This window comes from Homo sapiens, chromosome 1 (genome assembly GCF_000001405.40).
Source record: "Homo sapiens chromosome 1, GRCh38.p14 Primary Assembly".
Classification (NCBI taxonomy): Eukaryota; Metazoa; Chordata; class Mammalia; order Primates; family Hominidae; genus Homo; species Homo sapiens.
The window spans coordinates 11,369,032-11,377,842 of NC_000001.11; the positions used below are offsets into that span (position 1 = coordinate 11,369,032).

Here is an 8,811-nt window from a genome sequence, read left to right on the forward strand (position 1 = left end):
CAGGAGTTCGACACCAGCCTGACCAATATGATGAAACCCCACCTCTACTAAAAATACAAAAATTATCCGGACATGGTGGCATGCACCTGTAATCCCAGCTACTCAGGAGGCTGAGGCAGGAGAATCACTTGAACCTGGGAGGTGGAGGTTACAGTGAGCCGAGATCACGCCATTGCACTCCAGCCTGGGCAACAAGAGCGAAACTCCATCTCAAAAAAAAAAAAAAAACACCCAAAAACTGACTAATAATCTATGAGTTGAGATACTATTGTTATCCCACACTTTATCAGCGAGGCAGTTTAGGCATGGAGAGGTTAAGTGACTTGCCCAAGGTCACACAGCTGGTGAGTGCTATATCCAGGACACAAACCCAGGCAGTCTGGCTCCAGCGTTCATGCTTACAACTGGTTCTTGTATGAGCAGAGTTCTTCACCATTCATTGATCCAGTGATTTAATGAATTCATTCTTCGGCTTGTTAGTTCATCAAACATTTACACGAAGTAGTTTCCCCCATTAATTTCTCTCATAACATCCCCATCTTTTTCTTCTTAGCATTTATCAATGGTTGTCATGTCTAGGAATCTATTTCTATGCTGGTGGATCTGCCCTCTGGTTAGAGTTTATGCTCTAGGAGGGCAGGGACTGTATCGTTTTTGTTCCCACAGTATATCCATCAGTAGCAGTCCATAACTGCTTGTTGAATAAAACAGAGTTAGTTGTTAAATGCCAGCCCTGGCTACATATTGGGAACACAGCAATAAGGCATGTTATCTGTCTGGAGGGCGGGTGGAGGAGCGGACAGGCATCTGATCCCCAAACATCATGCTAAGGAGCTTGGCCTTTACTTGCAGGGCATGGGGAGCGGTCAGTTGCAGGTTCCTGGATGTGTCTGAGCTGACACCACAGGCACTTTTTTTAGGTTGTGTAAAGAGTATTTATACTTCGGAAAAGGGTGCCCGGCAAAAGTCCTGTCCAGCTCTGAGACTTGCTGATTGCTCTGAGTAGGGTGCCCAGAGCAGGAGGCAGACAGAAGTGGAGAAGGAACTGGGTGGCTGTAGCAGAATTTATGTGAGCTGGGGCAGAGGCGGGGGTCGTTGGCAGCAAAGGGAAGAAGCCAGTAGGGCAGATATTGAAAAGAAAGACGACATGAGCCTACCGAAAAAGTAGGAGGTGCGAAGGAGAGAGGGCTGCGCCAGAGGGGCATCCAAATTTAAGCAAGAGGTTGCCCGGAATGCCCCGAGCACCGCATCTGGCCCAGGGCAGAGGAATTGCTCAATACATGGTCATTGTTGTTGGGGTTGTGGATGATTCAGTGGAAGACTGTAGCTGCTGAGGTCTGGACATGAGGATCGGGATTCAACAGCAAATGACTGGAGTGTGCATTTCAGAGCTCTGGACTGGGAAGGAGGTGGCGTGGGTCTAACTACCGGAAGATCAGTAGACGCATCGCTGTCATCTAGCTATTTATTTTATTTTATTTATTTATTTATTTATTTTGAGATGGAGTCTCACTCTGTCGCCCAGGCTGGAGTGCAGTGGCTCAATCTCGGCTCACTGCAAGCTCCGCCTCCCGGGTTCACACCATTCTCCTGCCTCAGCCTCCCGAGTAGCTGGGACTACAGGCGCACGCCACCATGCCCAGCTAATTTTTTGTATTTTTAGAAGAGACGGGGTTTCACCGTGTTAGCCAGGATGGTCTCGATCTCCTGACCTTGTGATCTGCCCTCCTCGGTCTCCCAAAGTGCTGGGATTACAGGCGTGAGCCACTGCACCTGGCTTATTTTATTTTATTGTGACAAAATATACATAGCATAAAATTTACCATTTTAACCATTCTTAAGTGTACAATTCAGTGGCGTTTAATACATACACACTGTCGTGCAGCCATCACCACCATCCAGTTCCAGAACTTTTTCATCACCAGACAGAAACTCCATTCCTCTTAAGCAATCACCGCTCATTACCGGGTGGAATTGATGGGTAACTATGTTTTGCCATCAATTTGCTGTGTGCGTTTGGTGAAGTCACTTCCACTCTCAGAAGCTAGTTCTTTCCTTATAACTTTAAAATGGAGGTTTCTTTTGATTTTGCTAGGCTGAAAAAGCTAGGTGGACGGATGATGTCTCTGAAAGATAAAAACGTTGAGTGCGTGTGGAGGGCCGAGTCAGCCTGAGGGGGTGGGGGGAGAGGAATGGTGACAAAAGAGGAGCTGGCAAAGGAAACAGATGAAGAGTGGGGTGAGAAGGAAGAACATCTTCTTTGGGATTGGGAGAAAGGTTAGGAAAAGGGGGAAGAAGAGAAAAAGAAGAGGCTGACACAAAGGAATGCTCAAAACCAGGCTGTTAATGTGATTTCATGAGATGAGGTTGGGATCCAGCATAAAATCCAGGGTGACAGCCAGTGGCCTCAACCTCTCCGGAGCAGGAATCATGTGGCAGGAACGGAGGGCACCAGCTGCCTGTGAGGGCGGGCTGGGGACTGGACAGGAGGCTGGGACAGATGTAGCTGGGTGTGCCAGGGTCAAATTAGGAGAAATAAAAGGACTGCTAAGCTAGCCTGTCATTATTGAACTCACGGTAAAGAAAATGTATTTCTTTTCTTTTTTTTTTCTTTTTCTTTTTCTTTTTTTGACACAGAGTCTCTCTCTGTCTTCCAGGCTGGAGTGCAGTGGCATGATCTCGGCTCATTGCAACCTCTGCCTCCCGGGTTCAAGTGATTCTCCTGCCTCAGTCTCCCGAGTAGCTGGGATTACAGGTGTGTATCACCATGACTGGATAATTTTTGTATTTTTAGTAGAGATGGGGTTTCACCATGTTGGCCAGGCTGGTCTTGAACTCCTGACCTCAGGTGATCTGCTCACTTTGGTCTCCCAAAGTGCTGGGATTATAGGCGTGAGCCACTGAGCCTGGCCACTTTTTCTTTTTTTTTTTTTTGAGATGGGGTCTGGCTCTGTCACCCAGGCTGGAGTGCAGTGGCATGCTCTTGGCTCACTGCAACCTCTGCCTCCCAGGCTCAAGCGATCTTCCCACCTCAGCCTCCCAAGTAGTTGGGACTACTGGTGTGCACCACCATGCCCGGCTAATTTTTTTTTTTTTTTTTGGTAGAGATGGGGGTTCAACCTGTTGCCCAGGCTGTTCTCAAACTCCTGGGCTAAGAGATCTGCCGGACTTGGCCTCCCAAAGTGCTGGGATTATAGGTGTGAGCCATCGTGCCCAGCAAGAAAACATATGTCAAAGGGAAATTGACACGGTAACGAATGTGTATACTGCTTTATTTACACACACCCTATCTGGTTCCACATGAAATTTACAGGTTTGTTTTATTTTTATTTTTGAGACAGAGTCTCGCTCTCATCACCAGGCCGGAGTGCAATGGTGCGATCTTGGCTCACTGCAACCTCCAACTCCCGGGTTCAAGCAATTCTCCTACCTCAGCCTCCTGAGTAGCTGGGATTACAGGCACGTGCCACCATGCCCAGCTAATTTTTGTTTGGCATCAGTTAATGAATGCTTACATTTTGGGTTGAGAAAAGATCAATGTAAATAGGTAGCATGCAATAACCCTCTTTTGTGAATGTGTTTAATAACAGCTTTTATTTCTTGAGCAGCTCTTCTGCAGCTGACCTGGTGATAGCTCAATTACACTTCCCACCAATCTGAATAGGGTTGGTTGTCTTTTTTTTTTTTTTGGTCACTCTTTATATATTATCCCTTTTTACAGATGAGAAAATGGAGTCTTGGAAGGCAAAGTGACACCATGCTGGAAGAAGAGCAGAGAGGAATTGGAACCCACTCAGGACCTTGGAAATCTTCATCTTTCTGGAAGGGCCAACCAGGCATTCATCCTTGGCCTCCACTGGCTCCTTCTCTGTCTCCAAAGATTTTAAATAACGTGGCAGGCAAGGCTGCCTGAAGGCTGGGACAAGCGATGGTCCCTGGGCTCCTCCCCAGAGCTCGACTTCTCCTACGCTGGAGCTGTCTCCACAGGCCCCCCTGTGTACAGTGCAGGATTGGAAGGAGCACTGGACGGGGAGTCAGTGGAGCAGATGTGAGTAGCAGCCCCAGGCCTGCCTGCTGGGTGATCCTGACACAGGCGGTTGCATTTTCTGATCCTCAACAGGCTCGTTGTGAATGGATGCTGATACCTCCCTGGCAGGGCTGCTGCAGGGATCAGGCCAGACTTGAATGTGAAAGGGCTCTGAATAGCCGAGTCCAGGGTGGGTGAGGGAAGGTAGCATCGGCAACCTGCGGGTGGGCCCTGGCCACACTGACGGAGGAATTGTCTCCCTGTTATCCTGCTCACTCTCTGTGGGGTTTTCAGAGGAAGCAGAGTCCCTCAGCTTCAAGCCAGATCTGGGATTCCAAAGACCCACAAGGGAGGCCCAAGCAGGGAAGGTTATGGGAGGATTCTGGAGAAGAGGGTGCAGGGGGCAAAGCCTCTGCCAAGCAGCTCCTCCCCTGTGCATGCGTGTGTGTGGATGGGTGCGTGGAGTGTGTGGTGTGTGTGTGGATGTGTGTGTGTGTATGAAATGTGTGTGGATGTGTGTGTGTGGTGTGTATGAATGAGTGTGGTGTGTGTGTATGGGTGTGGTGTGTATGGATGTGTGTGTGTGGTGTGTGGATGGGTGTGTGTGTGGATGGATGTGTGTGTGTATGTGTGTGTGGTGTGTGTATGAGTCTGGTGTGCATGTGGATGGATGTGTGTGAATGTGTGTGTGGTGTGTGTGTGAATGAGTGTGGTGTGTGTAGAGTGAGTGGTGTGTGTAGAGTGAGTGGTGTGTGTGTAGTGTGTGCGTGTGGATGGGTGTGGTGTGTATGTATGGATGGGTGTGTGTGGTGTGTGTGGATGGGTGTGGTGTGTGGATGGATGTGTGTGGTGTGTTGTGTGTTGTGTGTGTTGTGTGGATGGGTGTGTGTGCTGTCTTGTGTGTTGTGTGGTGTGTTGTGTGCTATGTGGATGGGTGTGTGTGGTGTGTTGTGTGTTGTGTGGTGTGTGTGGTGTGTGGGTGTGTGTGGTGTGTTGTGTGTTGTGTGGTGTGTTGTGTGCTGTGTGGATGGGTGTGTGTGATGTGTGTGGTGTAGTGTGTGGTGTGTGTGTGGTGTGTGTGGTGTGTTGTGTGGTGTGTTGTGTGCTGTGTGGATGGGTGTGTGTGGTGTGAGTGGTGTGTGGTGTGGTGTGTGGTGTGTGATGTGTGTGGTGTGTTGTGTGTTGTGTGGTGTGTGGATGGGTGTGTGTGGTGTGTTGTGTGGTGTGTTGTGTGCTGTGTGGATGGGTGTGTGTGGTGTGGTGAGTGGTATGTGGTGTGGTGTGTTGTGTGTTGTGTGGTGTGTGTGGTGTGTGGATGGGTGTGTGTGGTGTTTTGTGTGTTGTGTGGTGTGTGTGGTGTGTGGTGTGGTGTGTGGTGTGTGGTGTGTGTGGGAGTGCTCTCTGGCCAGGTGCAATCTCCTTCCTGTTCAGCTCCTGGGGCTGCTGCTACTCTTAGTTCAAAAGACTTTTTATCCCTGGCAAGGACAATTATTGGGGTCACGGTGACCTGCCTGTTTCAGCGCCTGCTTGGGCTTGTTTCGTTTGGCCTAAGACAAAAGCTTGAACTCTGGAACTGCCCAGAGGGGCGAGGGGTGCAAATTCCCTCTGCCTGACCTAACTGCAGTGTTCACAGGACTGACTCATTGTCCCCCCGGGTCAGGACAGGAGTGACATTCAAAAGAACTCATAAGCAGTTTGGCCAGGTACTGATCACTCCGAATGGATTCTGTGCTTGAGGAATCCACCAAAGGCCTTTTTGGTTTGTTTTCCCAGAAGCCCATCAGTCACCATCTGGGGAGGACAAGGAGGGAGCAGGGCTGATCCAAGGAGCTCTGGGGCAGATGGACTGTCCCTGTCACGGCTTCTTTTACTGGTAGTAATGACTCCCACTGGTTGAGTATGCAGGCGCCACTTTGCTCCATGCCAGGTACCATCCATGCCTGCACTTTCTTTTTCTTTTTGTTTTTTGAGATGGAGTCCCGCTGTGTTGCCCAGGCTGGAGTGCAGTGGCGAGATCTTGACTCACTGCAACCTCCACCTCCTGGGTTCAAGTGATGCTCCTGCCTCAGTCTCCTGAGTAGCTCGGATTACAGGCATGCACCACCATGCCCGGCTAATTTTTGTATTTTTAATAGAGATGGGTTTCACCGTGTTGGTCAGGATGGTCTCGATCTCCTGACCTCATGATCCGCCCACCTTGGCCTTCCAAAGTGCTGGGATTACAGGCGTGAGCCACCGCACTTGGCCCATGCCAGCACTTTCTAGGTATAATCTCACTTGATCCCATCCGGCTCTTTGAGGCAGGCTATATGATCATGCCCATTTTGCAAATCAGGGAGCTGAGCCTGAGGAGCTGGGGTCCTTGCCCAGTCACACAGCCAGTAACAGCAAGAGTTCTGATTTACCCCTAGCTGGTCTGGATTCTCTTGGTCCCCTTATACACCTGTTCCCTGCTGGGGGAAGTCAGCTGGGGGCGTGGAGACTGCCTTGGAAGGTGGCTGCTGCAGCCCCCCAGACCTCCGGCAATAGAATTCCCTATAATTCGGTTATAAATCATGTTCCTAACTAAGCCAGCTCTGAAGGTCACCGGTAATCAAACTGTCAGCAGGCCATCTTCAGCGGCTGCCGTGGTCAGGGCCCTGAGCCAGGAGAGCCCAGGGAATCAAGCTTCCAGCCCGCACCTTTACAAGTGGGTAAGAGGCTGGAAATGGGAACAGGTTAAGAGGGCTTGGGGCTGGGGCCGAGTGACAGCTGCACTTCTGACTTCAAGATAATGAGGAGGAGAGAAGCTCCAGCCTCGCTTCTGAGCTATCTCGGTCCTTCCTGTTGTTGGTAGCATTGAACCTCCTGATCCGTGGAAGGTGGCTGCTTGCAAAGTTCTGATGACATCACATGGATGTGTGTTGGCCGGGTATTCCCTGGGGAATGAGCTTAGCGCGGAAGCAGAAGAGTTGCATTTTCTAAACCACCAGCTAAGTGGCAGGTGCGTACACATCATCCTGTGTAATCCCTAAGCTTGTCCCATGTGGTAGCAAGTTCCTTTTATTATCTCCATCTCCTGGAGGCTCAGATTGGCAAAGGGGACAGAGCTTGCAAGCATTCAGGTTGGCATTCAGGCTTACATCTGGGTTTTTTCCTTTTAATTCTTTTTTTTTTTTTTTTTTTTTTTTTTTGAGACAGAGTCTCACTCTGTTGTCCAGGCTGGAGTGTAGTGGCGCGATCTCAGCTCACAGCAACCTCTGCCTCCCGGGTTGAATTATCCTGCCTCAGCCTCCCGAGTAGCTAGGATTACAGGCATGTGCCACCACATCCGGCTAATTTTTGTATTTTTAGTAGAGACGGGGTTTCACCTTGTTGGCCAGCCTGGTCTCGAACTCCTGACCTCAAGTGATCTGCCCACCTCGGCCTCCCAAAGTGCTGGGATTACAGGCGTAAGCCACTGCACCTGGCCTTCTTTTGACTCTTACCAGTATTTTCCAATTTTGACATTTTGAAATAATGCTGGGAAATGCTGGTTAAACCAAGAGAAACAAGATTCCTGTCCGCATGACTTTTCAGAGCCTTTAATAAATTGGATCACGATTCTTCATGCACAGAGAGATGGGATGCCAGGGTGGAGGCCTTGGAGGCTCTGGCAGAGAGGAGATTAGTACTCCATTCCTACCCCAGTTCTGCAGGGGAGCATGGCTGGCTTGCTCTTGAAGCCCTGGCCCCCCTCATCTGGATGCAGCCTACAGTGGGGTGAGCTGAGGCCTGGCTCCACACACCTCACAGGAACTCCTAGAAGAAGGGAGGCTGTCAGGTACCCCTGACCTCTTTCCTGAGCTGTTCAGGACTCGCTGGCTCACTCGGGGCAGGTGAATCCCGCTAACCCACCAACTGGCCTCACTTCTCCCTTCCACGGAGTAATAGCAGCCTCCACCTCCCAGGTCCATCTGTGCACTTGAACCCCTGGATTTCAGGCCCGGTGTTCCTCAGAGATGGCTGCTCCTTATGTGCCCTGGGCCTGGGCTGATAAACCAGAACCCATGGGTACCTCCCAACTCACTCCCTTTTGCTGCCAACTAAATTAGCTCCTGTGGGCATTCCTCCACCCCCAGCCCAAGAACAAACAGCAAATTAATGAAACAGATGGGCTCTGTCTGCTCTGCTGGCTCTCAGCACTCCCATATTCAGGGCAGGGCTGAGACTGGACTAAATCATTTCTCCTTTGCTCCTGGGCACACAGCTAGACTACATTGCTAGCCTCCCTTGTAGACAGCGACCTTGGGCCACTTGGCTGAGTTCTGGCCAGCGGAATGTGGGTAGAAGTGATGACTGGCGTGCCCACACCTGGCCTGTGACACCTCCTACGCAACATCCCGTCTGCCGCCCTGTTTTCTGCCAGCCGAATGAAGAGGATCCAACAGAGAACTCCGAGGCCCTAGGAGACTGGGGAGGACAAGTTGGAAGGAAGCTTTATTTGTTATTTTATTAAAATTATTATTATTATTATTTCAAGACAGGGTCCTGCACTGTTGCCCAGGCTGGAGTGCAGTGGTACAATTACAGTTCGTTGTAGCCTCCGACTCCTGGGCTCAAGTGATCCTCCGGCTTCAGCCTCTTGAGTAGCTGGGACTATAGGTGCATGCCACCACATCTAGCTAATTTAAAAAATACCCTGTAGAGTGAGCATCTCCCTATGTTGCCCAGGCTGGTCTCAATCCTGGCCTCAAGGATCCTGCTGCTTCAGCCTCCAGAGTGCCGGGATGACAGGTGTGAGCCACCGCACCCAGCCTAGAAGG

The 8,811-nt window shown here is 50.4% G+C and overlaps 1 long non-coding RNA gene across 2 annotated transcripts, besides 2 other annotated features; it reads left to right on the forward strand.

The window, feature by feature from the left end:
• The first annotated feature begins 2,657 nt into the window (after window positions 1–2,657).
• On the forward strand, window positions 2,658–8,505 carry LOC105376740 (uncharacterized). 2 transcript variants are annotated; one of them, XR_946959.3, is made up of 4 exons: window positions 2,658–2,755; window positions 3,722–4,048; window positions 6,864–7,010; window positions 8,256–8,505. It is a non-coding gene; the product is annotated as an uncharacterized LOC105376740 (long non-coding RNA). The 2 variants fall into 2 exon arrangements; XR_001737779.2 differs by lacking the exon at window positions 8,256–8,505 and having other exon boundaries at window positions 6,864–7,131.
• Window positions 3,627–4,128: an enhancer, noted in NCBI's record as "H3K4me1 hESC enhancer chr1:11432715-11433216 (GRCh37/hg19 assembly coordinates)". NCBI's record gives its function as "activates a minimal SCP1, AML or CMV promoter by ChIP-STARR-seq in primed H9 embryonic stem cells {active_cell/tissue: H9 hESC(primed)}" and the evidence as "EXISTENCE:reporter gene assay evidence [ECO:0000049][PMID:30033119]".
• Window positions 4,129–4,628: an enhancer, noted in NCBI's record as "H3K4me1 hESC enhancer chr1:11433217-11433716 (GRCh37/hg19 assembly coordinates)". NCBI's record gives its function as "activates a minimal SCP1, AML or CMV promoter by ChIP-STARR-seq in primed H9 embryonic stem cells {active_cell/tissue: H9 hESC(primed)}" and the evidence as "EXISTENCE:reporter gene assay evidence [ECO:0000049][PMID:30033119]".
• Window positions 8,506–8,811: the final 306 nt, after the last annotated feature.